The 17,618-nt window shown below is 33.8% G+C and overlaps 1 protein-coding gene and 1 long non-coding RNA gene across 11 annotated transcripts in view; one reads left to right on the top strand and one right to left on the bottom strand.

Annotated features, from left to right (window-relative positions):
* The window catches only part of CTNNA3-AS1 (CTNNA3 antisense RNA 1), a 65,310-nt gene extending 56,776 nt beyond the window's left edge, over nt 1-8,534 (top strand). For all 3 annotated transcript variants that reach the window (XR_007062172.1, XR_007062171.1, XR_007062170.1), the window contains exon 5: nt 8,497-8,534. This is a non-coding gene — a long non-coding RNA (CTNNA3 antisense RNA 1). The remainder of the gene's footprint in view (nt 1-8,496) is intronic.
* Nucleotides 1-17,618, bottom strand: part of CTNNA3 (catenin alpha 3) — a 1,851,072-nt gene that overhangs the window by 223,493 nt on the left and 1,609,961 nt on the right. The gene's annotated exons all lie outside the window — the stretch shown is intronic.

Below are 17,618 nucleotides of genomic sequence, written 5' to 3' on the forward strand. Positions count from 1 at the left end.
CTCAACCTCCCAAGTAGCTGGGACTACAGGCGCCCACCACCACGCCTGGCTAATTTTTTGTATTTTTAGTAGAGACGGGGGTTTCACCATGTTAGCCAGGATGGTCTCGATCTCCTGACCTTGTGATCCGTCCTTCTCGGCCTTCCAAAGTGCTGGGATTACAGGCGTGAGCCACCGCGCCAGGCCACGTAACACAATTTACAAATAACATATAATACTCTTTATTGTAAACTGCATATAATAAATCAATTCTCAAAGAATATTTTCAGTTTTATTGCCAAATTGTCTTCAATTCATGTTTTGGTTGTTAAGTGATGAATAAGTGTAGTTCTAACATGGATGTTGGTTAATATGTTTGTTTACCTTAATGAGTAAGACCAACAAAAAACAATAAAGATGTATGCCAGAACTTAATCATGGCATAAGCTACTTTTTACTAAATTGGATAATAGTTTTCAAACACTAAATAGTAATTTCTTCACTTTTTTTTTTTGGTGTTACAAGGTAATTGTTATACACACAGCAAAATATAAGTTTAGTCTACATTATTAACACTTTTCTCCATCACTTTCTGACAATCAGTATCATAAACCATGTTCTGATGTGTAGCATTTGCCAATTCTTGCAATGTAATTACTGCACAATGGCCTACTTCCAGCTATTAATGTGACATCACTGAAAGCGGAGTTTAGAAGAGAGCATTGTGTTGTATTATCTCCATGACAGATGTAAATTTGGTAAAATAATTAAGAAGGAATGAAATTTTAGTATCTATTACATTTGCTTAATACTTATTATTTGTGAGTTCACATAATTTTTTTTTTTTGAGATAGAGTCTCACTGTCGCCCAGGCTGAAGGGCAGTGGCATGATCTCAGCTCACTGCAACCTCCACCTCGTGGGTTCAAGCAATTCTCCTGACTCAGCCTCCTGAGTACCTGGGATTACAGGTGCGTGCCACCATGCCCAGCTATTTTTGTATTTTTTTAGTAGACATGGGTTTCACCATGTTGGCTAGGCTGTTCTCAAACTCCTAACCTCAAGCGATCTGCCCACCTCAGCCTCCCAAAGTGGCTTGAGCCACCGCGCCCAGCCTAGTTCACATAATTTAATGTTTAATAATGACCATGTTTAACAACTAGCTCAGAGACTTCTTGAGACTTTTTTTTAGCAATCAGCTTCCAGCAAACCACTGCTTTGACGTGACTCCTGTGCAACGCAATGAGGATACAATATCAGCTTCATAGCACTTCTACAAAAGATATTTAATCTTTTAATTATAAGGAAACAATCAGGAAAATCCAGAATGTTAGATATTCAAAAAGCCCTCTAGCTTGGAATCTTCAAAATTATAAATGTCATGGAATACCAAATGTAAAAAAACAAAGTAGGAGGACTGTTCTGGATTAAAGAAAACCAAGAGGCATGACAAGAAAACCCAATGCATGAATCTCAATTACATACAATGGCAGGGGGCAGGGACAGAAAAAAATTTAAAACTAAAAACAATACTTAGAGAAATTTGAATATGAACCATATATTAAATAATACAATATCAACATTAAATCTGTTAAGTATAATAATATTGAGGTTATACTGGAGAATGCCATTGATTTTATGAGATACGCGGAACAGCAAAAATAAGTTTGTGGACTGGGTTTGGTGCCTCATGCCTTAACCCCAGCAGTTTGGGAGGCTGAGGTGGGTGGATAACCTGAGGTCAGGAGTTCAGGATTAGCCTGGGCAACATGGCAAAATCCCGACTCAACAAAAAATTTACAAAAAAGTAAGTGGGCATGGTGGCACGTCCCTGTGGTCCCAGCTACTCTGGAGGCTAATGTCGGGGGATGGCTTGAGTCCAGGAGGTGGAGGTTGCAGTGAGCCAAGATTATGTCATTGTACTCCAGCATGGGCAACAGAGCCACATCCTGTCTTGAAAATAACAACAAAATTTTGTGCATAGATATATAAATAACAATAAATGATATATATCTATATAGAGAAAAAACAAAGAAAATAAAATAGTAAAACTTATTAAATCTAAGTAAAAGAACAAAATTACTCCAAAGAAAAAATAAAAGCCCGCAGTCTTTGAAAAGTATATGAAAGAAATAATAATAAACCCAAATATATGTATATATGTATGCATTAAATTTAAAATTTGCATTTTCAAAGACAAAGTTTGAAACTTTCTCCTTGAATCCAGAACAATTATTTTAGTTGCTATTTATTGAGCAACAGGTGTGGATCAAGAATCTGGCAATTTACTTTATCTATATTATCTCAATGCCTCCAACCACATGATGACATAGTAATTCTTATTGTTACAGATAACAAACTTTGAATACTGACTATCTTTGGGCAATGATATCATGCTATATAACCAACAATCCATAATGGTCAAAGAAAAATTGTTTCTATATGGCCTTGTATTTTGTTGAGGCAAAGAAAACAATAGTAGGCTTATTCATGATAATTCTTTATGTATTTTGCTCATTTGATGATAAAAATCCTTATTTAAAAGACGAATTGGGCTGGGCGCAGTGGCTCACACCTATAATTCCAGCACTTTGGGAGGCCGAGGTGGGCAGATCACCTGCCATCAGGAGTTTGAGACCAGCCTGGCCAGCATGGTGAAACCCGGTTGGTTTCACTTCTAAAAATACAAAATACAAAAATATTAAAAATACAGAAATCAGCCAGGTGTGGTGGCATGCACCTGTAATCACAATTACTTGGGAGGCTGAAGCAGAAGAATCGCTTGAACCCAGGAGGTGGAGGTTGCAGTGAGCTGAGATTGCACCACTGCATTCCAGCCTGGGAACAAAGGGAGACTGTTTCAAAATGAAATGAAATGAAATAAAAATAAAAGATGGATTGACAATGATCAAACATCTGGACCTTTACACATCACTCTCTCTAAATAAGAGTAATTTAACATTGGTCTTCATTTCTTCACAATTTCAAATTTCTGCACTATATGACCAGGAAAGCCAAAGTTTCCCCCAGGCTTTCTGGTCATGTTGTTTGCCTCTGCCCTGTGTGATTTTTCTCCTGACTCAATGAAGGGAATTCTAAAATCTGACAGATTAGCAATGAAATCTTTTACACCATTTCCTAAGATTCCTCTTAGATTTATGGCTGCACGCTTAGGGATATCATGATGCCGAAATGTTAGGCGAGAAATAAAACTATATTTTCCCCTTTCTTACTTCAGTGGAGCACAATTTCCATTTATTCACACTGTATTTCCTCACACAATATGTTCTTCCCACCCAAGGCTATAAATTTGAAAATATTTATAGGCAAGATTACCCCTGATGCCATTTATACCTTGATGGCTTTGTGTTTCAGCTCCTAAGAGCCACTCATATGTCATATGAATGGCTTACAACCATGTACTGCCTTGGATTTTTCCCTGTCAAATGCAAGGCCCTTCTTTGACTACAATACTCTTGATTCAATTTATTATTAATAACACACCCTGCTAATGACTTCAAAGAAAGCCTCTTTATGTGTGTTCAGAGGTTTCCCAACTCTTGCTTTCTAGGTTTTACAAGTCACTTTTAGATTTTGAGAGTGAGGGTTGTGTTCCCCCCTTTTCTCCTATATGTATTTTTATAAAAATATTCAAATTATGACATTTCTCACACTACAATAGACCATCATAATTGTCCCTCTCATTGTGTCATATTTTTCAAGTGAAGGACATGGACAGACACTGCAAGCATTATACAGCTCTGGGCGGGAATCAGGCAGACAGGCCTGTAGTTTGTACATAGAAATCCAGCCTCAGTCATCCTGAGATGATGTTTAGGTCAAACAAGAAGGGAATATCCTGGGTTGAACTCCAATAAAGAGACTTTGCCTTCGTCCGGTTCTCCCTTTTCCTGATGATTTTGTAAAGGGACTAGGAGGATCAACTGGGTATGTGGCAATGGGGGCTTTTGTGGTTTTGAAGGTGGCCTCATTAGTGAATATGAGTATCTTGTAACTGCACGCTCCATGTCTGGCATGTTGCATAGCAATCATTAAAGCAGCTATAAAACTTTCAGATATGTTGAGATTTTGAGCAGCTCCATTTATGCACAGAGTAGGGACCAAAATTCTAACTAACTAATCGCCACATAACATGAAGAGAGCTTAGAAATCCTAAAGAGAGAAAACCTATTAGTTGTTCCTCATCCTTCAAATTTTTGCACCAAAAGCAGAGAACCAGAGGAAATGCAATTTAACTTAATAGTAAACCCCCTTCAAGGAGATTAATTAATCCCTCCTCCTTTCAATTCTTTCCAGATGAATGTTGTTAAGTACCAATGTAATCGTATCTGGTATCTTTGAGGTATAGTGAACTCTGAGGAAGGTAATGTTAAGATGCATTTCAAGAGTATAAACAATCCACGAGCAAAGTAGAGAAAAAATTTAGTCTCCTGACATTTTATAATACAATTAACCTGAAGAACAGAGATCTATGTTACGATTTCTCTAATTTTATCTTTCTAATGATTTAAGCCCTATTCATAATGTCGTTAGGTATTGGGGTTTCCATTTGTCTTTATGTATTTGTTCTCTCCTAGCAATAAAATGACCTATTGTTTATTGGTCACTGTTGAACAACATACCTGAATAACTCTTTAGGAACATTCTGTCCTATTCTGCAAATCCCACATTGCATGGCTAAAAAGGAAATGCAGCCAACTCATTTGTAAAAGACCTATGTGAGGAAGTGCCAGTTGTTATTTTTAAACAATTTGTTATAACAGAAGTAGTTCTGACTTTTCTTCTTAATTGCTTGGATAGTTCATGGAGAGTATCTTCTCTCTTACTTTAGTCTATGCTTCTTTATGTTTTTATTTAAGAGATTTTGTCATTGTTGTTGCTGTTGGTTGTGATGATACTTGAGGAGAAGCAGGGTTTAAGAAACATCATAATCTAAGAACATTTCAATAGAAAATTTTCTGAGTCTGGGTACACTGGCTCACGCCTATAATCGCAGCACTTTGGGAGGCCGAGGCGGGAGGATCACCTGAGCTCAGGAGTTCAGGACCAGCCTGGGCAACATGGTGAAACTCCAACACTACTAAAAAAACAAAAATTAGCCTGGCATGGTGGTGCATGCCTGTAATCCCAGCTGCTCAGGAGGCTGAAGCATGAGAATTGCTTGAGCCCAGGAGGTGGAAGTTGCAGTGAGCTTAGATCATGCCACTTGACTCTAGCCTGGCAATAGAGTGAGAAGACTCTGTCTCAGATTAAAAAAAAAAAAAGAAAGAAAGAAAGAAAAATTTCTGAGAAAATGTTTAATTGCAGTATAGTTTGCTTAACAGTAATTAGTTTAATATTTAAAATTTCAAGAATGTTTGAGGTTAAAATTTACATTAAAGAATATTGTTATTTATACCAAAAAAAAGCAAAGAGATGACTCCCCAGAATTTAGGATTGAATGAAGATATCCTCAAACAGTTAAACAATTGTTAAACTGTAAAATCAACATATAATTTGCCAAGATCAGAGACATAAAAATTCTCCAATTATGGAGAAAATCTCCATCCTAAGACAGATGTATCTTAACTTGCCTCAACATATTTAAGTGAGATTTGGAGGGATGAGGTACAGATAAATATAGATTAAAGTTTTATTGTTTTTGTCATACTCCAGTGAATTGATTTTATATAAACGATAAATAATTTATTCATCTGATAGTGACAAAATATCCCCAAAATAACAGCACATATAAGAGAGGTTGACTTAAAATTGTACTTAGAGAGTCACTGAAAACAGTAAAACAAGCAAAACACTGTCTATTCGAATTCAAGCATTGCCAACAAATTGATGATAATGTGTATTCTGAGGCAGATGTTTCCTTATAGAGAAGATGGATAGCCCAGGTTATTAAAGATATATCCCATATGTCTTTCGCAATTATTGTCTCCATGTCTGTGGATTCTCTTTTTATTCTCTTGAAAGTGTCTTTCACAGAGCAGAAAGCTTACATTTTAATAAAGTCCAGCTTATCAATGCTTTCTTTCATGGATCGTGGCTTTGGTGTTGTACCTAAAACGTCTTTGCCAAAGCTGTTTACCTAGATTTTTCTCCTACCTTTTAGAAATGTTATAGGTTTGTATATTTATTTAGGTCTTTATCCATTTTTAGTTAGTGTTTGTAAAGCATATAAAGTCTGTGTCTAAATTCTTTTCATTTGTTTGTTACATGTAGATATCCAGTTGCTCCAAAACCATTTGTTGAAAAGACTATCTTTTCACCATTGTTTTGCCTTGACTCTTTCATCAGTGGTCAGCTGGCTTTATTTAGTTGGGTCTATTTCTGGGCTCTGTATTCTATTCCATTGATTTATTTGTCTATTATTTGACCAGTATGACACTGTCTTGATTATGGAAGCTTTATGGTAAGTCTTGAACTCAATGTTGGTCCTCCAACTTTTTTCTTTTCTTTAAATATTGTCTTGTCTATTCCAGGTCTTTTAACTCTACATATATACTTTCAAGTCATTTTGTCAATAAAATAACTTTCTGAGATTTTGATTGGGATTACACTGAATGTGTAGATCAAGTTGGAAATAATAGAGCCAGTTTTGAAACAGGATTTAAACAAGATCTGTTCAGCTCCAACATTAACCTTTTGCTATGACACTGTGACAGCAATTAAACAACCATAAATCACAGGTTAAAACTGATATATTTCAAAGACATTTTAAGAATTAGAGACCTCACCACAATGCATAATACTTGTTTTTGGGTAGTTTTCTTCAGTGAATTCTAATGCTATAGGTATTACTGGCAGAAATTTTCTAGGAAAAGAGCAGAGTATAAAAATAATAAATAAGACAAGCATATGGAAAGAAAAAGTCAGTTGCAGAGGAAGAAAAGTTAAAAGGATTGTGTCTTTTTAAGGCGGTGAATAATACTTAGTAGATCATCTCAAATGTTTCTGATTTCTGGCTCTGCTTCCAGAATAGCAATCCATTTTAAGCAGTTAAATACACTAAATTTCTGACAGTGTAATATACAATACTTTATGTATTTTATTGGAAAAATATTTTAATATATCTGGTCTCATATATTTCCTAATAGAATATACCACCACCATTATTATGGAACTCAATTATAAAAATATGAACCATTTGACAGAAATTGGCTATCCTGAAAAATTGGAATACATATGCATTATTGATCAAAATATGCTTACAGTACCAAAAAAGCATAGAGTTAGTTCAGTGTTTTTAAAGCTTGATATTATGATACCAAGCAATAGCCGCTGAAATAGAAAGGAGTATACTTTATAAAATTAAAATCAGGTTTTTAAAAAATTTTCTTCAGAGGGCTAACTGGTCCATAATTGTTTTTAAGTTTCTTGCTGAAAAATTGAAATAGGTCCCAGGAGAACTTATGGCACTGATAAAGTAAAACTGTCACTTTCCAGTTTGGTCGTCAAATATATCATCCCTCTGTCTATTACACACAGCAGTTCTGCCACAAATCTTGTTTCTACTCACAATTAATTAAGCAAAACTAAAATGTTTAAAGCTACCACAAATCAAATTTAATTTAAATGGCTACAATAACTTAAACAGAGATAAATGAAATGACTTTCTTATGCTTCATTACTTCCTCTAATTCCTTTTAAAACATTTCTGTAGAAGAAGTTCTGAGGATGAGGAGACAGGGGTGGACCAATGAGATTTCAATTAAACTACCAAAGTAATACCTTAACCGCAGGTGGTCCCAGGACCAGTTATTTCCACTTATTCCATTCCCTTTGCCACACAGACACTTTAATGTGAATTTTAAAGATATATATGTTACAATTTTCAGAGTCTGATTTATCTTAAAACTTTAAACCATATGACATTTCTAATGTAAAAATGTAATCTTGATTTAGGTGCTTAATTAAAAGGATGGCTGCTTTATTAATAACTCAATTATAAGTTTAAAATATGTCATAGTATAATCTAATGATTGTACTGTTTTCCCCCATGGGACCTTTAAATACACACAAAATAATTCTATGCCCTGATAGAATTCTATTTTTTGTTGTTGCTAAGACAATTTATTTTTGTTATTTCGTGACTTCACTGCATTTTATTGCATTTCTGTGATTTCTTTTTTTACTGCAGCATCTCTAAAATCTCTTCTTACAGTTTGGGCATAGAATTGAGAGCAAAATGGAATTTATCGCAACTACCTCATGCATTTTTTCTTAAATTGAAATCAGATTACACAAATACTTATGTTTTGTTTCCATGGTTATGCAAGAAAATAGTTTTTCAGTCACTTATACAAATCTATGCAGAATTTATACATGTATTGCTTATTTTATTTTATCTTTTTATCAAACTTAGCATGTTAGGAAACATTACTAAATTCTGAAAATGTTAGGAATTTAATTAATAATGTATTTGTAGCCTCGACCATCTTAAGAAAAATATATGGTGTTGGCTGGTTAATTTATATTTATTTATTTATTTTTTTTTTTGAGACAGAGTTTCGCTCGTGTTGCCCAGGCTGGAGTGCAATGACATAATCTCCGCTCACTGCAACCTCTGCTTCCCGGGTTCAAGTGATTCTCCTGCTTCAGCCTCCTGAGTAGCTGAGATTACAGGGACCAGCCACCACACCTAGCTAATTTTGTATTTTTTAGTAGAGACGGGGTTTCTCCATGTTGGTCAGGCTGGTCTCAAACTCCCAGCCTCAGATCATCCACCCGCATTGGCCTCCCAAAGTGCTGGGATTACAGGCGTGAGCCATGACACCCAGCCTTCTATTTAATTTTTTAATAGGCAGGCATTAATGTCAGTTAATGCTATATAAAATGACATATATGGAGAAGTCTCAATACCAAAATTGCCTTCTATTCCAGTATCCACTCCCCTTCCACATATGCATACTTTTAGGGAACTCTATAACTAGTTTATTTATTTCAGTATTTCTCTTAGGAAAATGTAATGAAATGCATATTTGTATACCCCTACTTTTGTATAAAAAGTAGCTTCTATATTATGCATATACACTATTCTCTCCCTTGCTTTCTTTAATAATATTTCCTTATGAACAACTCATATCAGTATATAGACATCTTCATTCATAAAGGAGACCCTACAAACTACTAAGTATTTATTACTAGTTACCAGGAATCAAAAGAATAGCCTTTTAGCCATCCTTTGAAGTATATCCATATGCCGTTCAAGACTCTAAAACCTGTAAGGGCTACTCCACAGCTCTAGCACATGGCTTTCCTTTCCAAGGCCCTTCTCCACACAAAGACAAAGGGGAATGTACATTAGCACCATATCATGTACAGGTAAACTAGAGTGGAATAGAGAAAGCCTACAGATATGGAAGTAGCAGAGAGGCCCATGAAGCTGTCCTTATGCCCCAGAGAGGTTTGCTTTGCCCCAGTGGGCATAGTTGCTTTAAATATATCATTGAAAGGACTCCAGGAAAGAGTTCCTGACACCCAAATATCTCTATATATCATTTATAGAGAAAGTGGGGAAGGGTTTCTCTACTCTAAATGACTATGTAAAAATAGGTCCTTCTTGGTGAAGAAAATGGTCTTGTGGAAAGAGGTAACCACTGGTTCTCAATGCCTGATAACAGCAGTCATTTTCATTGCACTAACTTGGACCTGCTGAGCCAGCTTATTGCAAAGCAAGTAACAGGGAAGGGAATGAGCCTCCAGGGTCATCTGGGTTTGTTTCTCTTCATTAAGTGTTTTTTATTTTTTTTCATAAGCATTGCTGCTTATTCATAGATACACATAGAGATGCAGAATCAAAATGAGACATGAATGCTGGTTATCAGCTGCACTCACTCACTAAGTGGCTTTCCTTCTTTTTCTTTTGAGATGGAGTCTTGCTCTGCTGCCAGGCTGGAGTGCAGTGGCATGATCTAGGCTCACTGCAACTTCTATCTCCCCGGTTCAAGCGATTCTCCTGCCTCAGCCTCCCGAGTAGCTGGGACTATAGGCACGCGCCACCAAGCCCTGCTAATGTTTGTGTTTTTAGTAGAGACAGGGTTTTACCATGTTGGCCAGGATGGTCTTGATCTCTTGACCTTGTGATCCACCTGCTTTGGCCTCCCAAAGTGCTGGGATTACAGGCATGAGCCACCGTGCCCGGCCGAAGTGGCTTTTTTATATCTCAGCTTTATACTATGAGGTGAAAATTTGAGTCTTAGTAAAATTCAAAATACTGGCCCTTCCAGGTCATTTTCAGATGGCTGAAGCTAGTCAAACCAGGAGTAGCAACTGCCTCTACTGAATAAAATACAACAGTGTAAATCTAATATAATAAAAAGAACTAGACCTGCCTCAGTAGAATATGATCTGGTTTACACTGAGTAATAGATACTTTATTTAACAGGAGTTACTCCAAACTTTCATGCAAGTATTCATTAGACCTCTCCCACTCTCTGGACACCACATAGGATCTAAAGGAATATGAGTTGGGGTCCAGCATAAAGACAATTACAGACAATAGGATAAGACAAATGGCACTCTGTTAATAAAGCATGTATTCTGTTTGTTTGGTTGGTTGGTTTTTTGAGCCACAGTTTCACTCTCGTAACTCAGGCTGCAATGCAGTGGCATGATCTCAGGTCACTGCAACCTCTGCCTCCTGGGCTCAAGTGATCCACCCACCTTGGCCTCCTGAGTATCTGGAACTACAAGCCTGCACCACCATGCCCAGCTAATTTTTGTATTTTTTGTAGATACAGCATTTCACCATGATGCTCAGGCCAGTCTCAAACTCCTGAGCTCAAGCAATTCACGCGCCTCAGCTTCCCAAAGTATTGGGATTACAGGCATGAGCCACCACACCTGGTATTTTTAACCAGGGAAAATATTAGTACTTAGGAGATCTGATAGAGGCAGAAGCAGTAAAGGGCAGTTTGTTGAAATAATATGAAAAGTTTTCCTGTAGAATATGCAAATTTTGACTGGTTAGAAAGTCAGAAAGAAATGCTTTTGTTCTGAGGATATAAACCTTCTAAATTGCTCTTGAAGGTTGAAATTTTTTGGTTGCTGTTTTGTTGCTTCATGTTTTAATTATTATTATATTTATATCTCTCTTGTTAAATCTGGGGTATGGGGAACAGTGCCATTACCAGAGAAGAATTTACAGGATTAACCTTAAATAGAAGAAAGTGTCTCTCTTCTAAGTATTAAGAAATTATCTCTGTAATAGTGAACTTATCGGTAATATGATTCAGGGACAATCATTCTATGAAATATAATTAAATGCCCAATATTCTTCTTTTTTAAAAAAAGTTTCTATTAGATTTTTAAAGTACAGCTATAATTCATGTTGTTTGTAACAAAAGTTGCAAAGATTAAAAAGAACTAATATTTTACCACTTGTCCTCCTTTCTCAGTCTCTGAAGTATAATCAAAATGATATGATATATAGTGTTCTCATTTTATCCAGGTGTTTTATGCATCTGTAGTATCATCTCTTTGTTTGTAGAACAACAGATGACTCTCCCTCATTTATTTTTAAAGGCTACATAATACTCCATAGAATAACTGTACCATGGTATTTCAGACAGCCTTTTGAGGGACACTCAGGTTGCTTTCAGTTTTTTTTTTTTTTTTTTTTTTGTCGTTGTTGCGCCAATGCTCTTAACAGTAGAAAAATACCTTTCAATATATATCTATATTTAGTGGCTGTTTTATACCTGTAAGATACGTTTATAAAAGTATGTAAAATATGTTTATATTAGTATGCATATTATGTTTAGTATAGTATGTATAGTATGTATGTATAGTATGTATGTATAGTATGCTATGTTTATATTAGCATGTATGTATATTAATATGCTTATAAAAGTATGTAAGATGTGTTTATAAAAATTGAACTCTGGATTCAATTTTAATTTGTATAGAGACTGCTAGTTTATTAATTTATCAAAATCCACATCACCATATACTTAGTCACACTAGATGCTATCCCCATTTTTGTTCTTCTGAAGGGTGATACAAGGCAGCTCATTATTGTTTTATTTCCTATATCCTTGATTGTAAACAGAATTGAAACTCATATCCTTATTGCTCAAATATTTTCCTTCTCTGTAATTTACTTTTCCATTTTTCTGATGAATCATTTGCTTTTCTTAGTATTTTCAGGAGCTTGTCATATATTATGGGCATTAATGTCGGGTCATTTACAATAAAAACATTTTTCTTGTCAATTTTTTGTTCTTTTACTCTGTTTATAGTATAGTATTGCCTATATTTTTAGTTATATTTTATGTAAACCAGTCCTGGCTTGTTTAAGAAAAATCTCACCACAAAAATGTTGCACAAATAGTATCTACTAGTTTTTAAAAATAATATATATATGCTATGGTTTGAATGTATTCCTCGAAAATTCATGTTGAAATCTAATCCCCATGGTGTTGGTATGAATAGGTGAGATGTTTGCAGAAGTGATTAGTCGTGAGGTCTCTGCCCTCGAGGATGGGATTAGTGCCCTTATCAAAGTGACTGAAGGAGTCCCTTTGGCTCATTCTGCCAGAACACAGCATTCCCCTTTTCATTATGTGAGGATACAGTACTTCCTGCTTCCTCCATATGAGGAATACAGTGAGAAAGTGCCATCTCTGAAGCAGGGAGAGAGCCCTCATTTGACACCAGAGCTGCTGGGTCTTTGAACTTGTACTTCTCAGCCTCCAGGACTATGAGAAATAAATAAATAAATTATCCACTCTAAAGTAATTTGTTATAGCAGCAGGAGCAGGTTCAGGCTAAGGCATTATGTGTGTATGTATTTATAAAATGTTGCACAAATAGTAACTACTAGCTTTTAAAACTAAATATATATTTATATGCTATGTATATATGTACACTGACAGCTACTTATCATATTCAATAAGTTTTAAATAGATTACAAATCTAAATGTACAGTTATATACATTAATTTTGACCTTACATGTAATGAACATGCATTATATTTAGATATTTATGTATATAATTTAACTACATAGTTATAATTAACTGTAATTTAACTACGTAGTTAACAATACTTGTTATAGTTTATAGTTCAATTATAGTTAACTATATAGTAAAATTATGTGCACATATATCTAAATATGAATAAATGCATATATATCTAACGCATATATATGTATATATAAAGCTAAATATAGTTAACTATATAGTTAATTATAACTAGTTATAATATATAATATATAAATATATATAACTCTATATTTATAGTTAACTGCATAGTTAGCCATATCATTAAAATATATGCATATGTATATTTAAATATAAGGAATGTTCATTATACATAAGATTAAAGTCAACATATATAATTGCACATTTAGATTATTAATTTCTTTAAAAATTATTATTGAACATTGTAAGTAGCTGTCAGTTTTTTGTTTTCCATGTAAATATCCAATTAAGCCAGCCATAACTATTAACTAATAACTTCATTAGTTAAATGGGTACTGAATTCAATCAAATCATTTTGTGGAATTCACTATACAATTATATTTTTCTTCTTTTATTGTGTTTTTATCAATTATACTGTTAGTTTTTCTAATGTATGAACACCCTTACACTTTTAAAATAAAGTATTCTTGATCACAAATGATATTCTTATTGCACTGTAAAATTTGATATACTTTTACTTTATTTAGAATGGTAGCATTCTTAATCATAAGTAAAATTAGTTTGTAGTTTACATTCTTATGCATCTTTTTCAGATTATTAAAATTACAGTTCTTTATAAATTAAATTAAGCTGAGTATCATCCATTTTTATAGTCTTTCACTTTAAAAACAATGGAATAAACTATCTCATTATTATAGCAAAAAAAATTAAACCATAAAAGTATCAGGCCCTTGTATTTATTTGTAATGGTAAATATTCTTCAATATGTTTTTCCACACTTCAATAAAAGTTTTTCTTTTCCTTCTTTATGGTTTCTAAATGTCCTTGAGTTAACAATGGACTTGGATTATTATTTCATAATCTTTCTAATCCACAATGAACTTATTTTGGTTTTTCTTTGTTTTCCATAATGGTTGATATGGTTTGGCTGTGTCCCCACCCAAATCTCATCTTGAATTGTAACTCACACAATTCCCACGTGTCATGGGGGGAACCCCGTGGGAGGTGATTGAATTATGGGGGTGGATATTTCCTGGTCTGTTCTCGTGATAGTGAATGAGTCTCATGAGATCTGATGGTTTTAAAAACAAGAGTTTTTCTGCACAAGCTCTCTTTGCCTGGCACCATCCATGTAAGATGTGACTTGCTCCTCCTTGCCTTCCACCATGATTGTGAGGCCTTGCCAGGCATGTGGAACTGTAAGTCCCTTAAGCCTCTACTTTTGGAAATTGCCCGTCTCGGGTATGTCTTTATCAGCAGTGTGAAAGCAGACTAATACAATGGTGTTTGCCAAAATATATCTATTATGGTCTTTTAAAAAAATAGCTTAATTTTTTTCTATTTTTTTATTTTTAATTTTTATAGATATATAATAGTCATACATATTTATGGGCTACATGTAATATTTTGATACCAGCATACGATGTGTAATGATCAAATCAGGGTAACTAAGATATCCATTATCTCAAGCATTTATCATTTCCTTGTGTTGGGGTCATTCTAAATATCTTCTATTTTGAAATATATAATAGATTATTATTAACTATAGTTACCCTATAATGCTATTGAACACTACTTATTCCTCAGGTAAAACTACTTATCATTCCATTTATTTTTATTAGCTGATTTTCTAGTTCATTATAATCACATATTTTTGTTTTAAACCTGATTTCTTAAGGTAAAAACTTATCTTTTAATACTTTTACTGAGGAATAATGTTATGCTATACAGTGTAGCATTGTAAGTGTACAATACAATTATTTTTAATAAGGGATGGGACTGTATTTCTTGAGTTGTTTCCCTTCAGTGGCTTCAATCCATTATTAGGTCCTTGTCTAATTTATATATTTGCATTTCTCTTACGAAGTATAAACTGTATTTAATAAACTTTTAAAATGCAATTATAAAATTGATTCATCACTTGAGCAAATATGTTTTATTCCTTCATAAGATGTCAATAATTGGTTCAAGAGTTGGTAATATAATATGTATTCAATCTAGTGGCAGAAATAGACAAGAAAAGACTTAATTGTAATTCAGAATGTCATGTCTAAATTGATATTTAGATAAAGTACTATGGGGACAACTTATGAAGGACTGGTTACTTCTAGCTTGAAGGAAGTGTGATAGGAGGGCTGAGATAAGATAAAGTTTTCACGAAGAAGCTCACATCTGACATAGCTTTCAGAGACTTTCTTAAAAGAGAAAAAGGAAAATGTTTTAACTAAAAAATGATAATAGTATGTGCAAATATTAGGAGTTATAATGACACATGGAATATCCATAGAATTTTGAGGATATTTACTTCTGATGCTCTTCAGTTTGTTTTCTTATGTTTGGTAACATGAAATTTAAAAAGACCAAATTCAAAAGTTTCATAACAAATGAGTCACACGTGACTCATTTAGCAAGAAAGGATTTCTTCACTTACAAATCTTTGGATTTCTAGAATGTACTAAAGATAGAAGTATCTCCTGTAAATATCTGATAAAAAGAGATATACTTGCCTCTGTTCTTCAGCCACTGAAGGGAAACAAGAACGACAAGCTCATCCCTAAGGATGATATCATGCACCTTCCTAATAACTTTAAATGTCTTGACATATTAAAGTTTGAGTTAAGCTACACCAGAGTTAAAAGCACCAACCAATTCCTCAGTCACTTTCTATACATGCTTCAATTCTTTTTAAAATTAGGTTGAATAATAAGTTATAGCTTAATCATTGATTTAACTAGAAATGATAATCATCTGGATCATATTAATATTGGAACACATAGATTGAATGCTATAGAAATAAAATTTATGTGGCTACATTTCTGCCAGGGAACTTAAGGAGTCCTATAAATCATCATTTCAGATAATCCAAATAACCAAGAATGTGGAAATCATATTGTATCTATGCTTATTCTTGTTTATATAACCATGACAAATTATTTTTACATAATTGACACAGAATCATTTCATTCCTGCTGTAAAAAGAAGGAAAAATAAGTACCATTCAAAAACATTCTACTAAACTTGACAGAAATATTAAGACAGCAGAAGATGTTTTCAAGATATTGAATTATGAATAAGCAGAATGCTAGAATAACCATGAAAGTTAAATATACATCCAATTTTACAAGCACTTGGAAAAATACCAGAAAATAAAGATACAGGCACTGATAATACAGATATTAATTGTAAATGATATACTATGATGGAAGTTGATAACTAATACAACTCATTAGCTAAATTATATTTCCAAAACAGGAAGCACAGATATACATAATGGGACAAAAAGTAAAATAATGAAAACTAAGAATGTTCTAACAACACAAAGTATAAAAATTCTCATGTATACTTTCACAATATAAAGAAAACTAACAACATGTATTCTGAATTCACTGTATCAGAATGTCTTATAGACATTAATCAAAGTCTAATAATAACTAAAAATGATTTTAAGATGAGAAAGAGTGTATAAGTTTTTAAACTAAGATTCTTGGTAATTTTCAAAATGCTGTGCAAACTATGCCTATGACCCTCAAGAGCATTTTTGAAATAAAAAAGAAAGTATGACTTTTTCCTATTATCACCTCTTCTGGCAATGCTGTACACTACCATGAGCTTTGACTACATTTTCCAGCCTTCTAAAGTGCCCTACTGAAACTTTGTTATCCTTTCTCTTTATTGAAAGTAGTCCAATTCACTGAGCTCCAGGAATGTGTAAATAATTTTCAGTAAGTCATCGTTCAGTTTGAGTTTTAAGCCATTATTTTCTTGAATATTTTTTGTGCCTCATTCTCACTCTCACCTGGGACTCTAATTAAATATATGTTAAAAGTTTTAATATTATCTCATAGACAACTTGGGCTCTGTTGATATCTTTAACTTTTTTTCTCTTTTCTTCATATTGATCTATCTTAAAGTTTAGTAATTATTTCCTTTGTCATCTTCATTCTTCTATAAAGCCCATAAAATGTTTCTTTTTCAAATATGCGTGTTTCAGTATGTTTCAGTTTTATAATTTGCATTCAGTTCTTTTAAAATATTTTCAATTTCTTTACTGAGATTTCCTATTTATTTATTAAGTTTATTTTATTAAGCATAGATTTATTGGCTGATTTATAGTCTTTATCTGAAATTTCAACATCTGGGTCGTCTCAGGGTTGGACTCTGTTAATCATATATTTTTTCTTTGAATGTGAAGCCAGTCTGTATTGTATCCAAGTCATTATTTCTGCATTCTCTAATATTCCTCCAAAGAAAGATACTATTTTTATATTAGAAGGCAATTAATTGGTTAGGCTCAAATTACATACTTTGTGTGCCTATGGAGGGAGACAGCCAAAATCTCAGTGTTGTTCTTTTAGCCTTAGCTGCAGGATGTTTTGAGTCTGCTGCAGACATGCTCAATTCACCTGTCAGCCTGAGAATTGGGCAAAGTTTGTATACCAATTTGGGGGCTCTTATCTTCTGGATTTCTCTTTTCTGAGATGCCTC

The sequence above is a fragment of the Homo sapiens genome, chromosome 10 (genome assembly GCF_000001405.40).
Source record: "Homo sapiens chromosome 10, GRCh38.p14 Primary Assembly".
Classification (NCBI taxonomy): domain Eukaryota; kingdom Metazoa; phylum Chordata; class Mammalia; order Primates; family Hominidae; genus Homo; species Homo sapiens.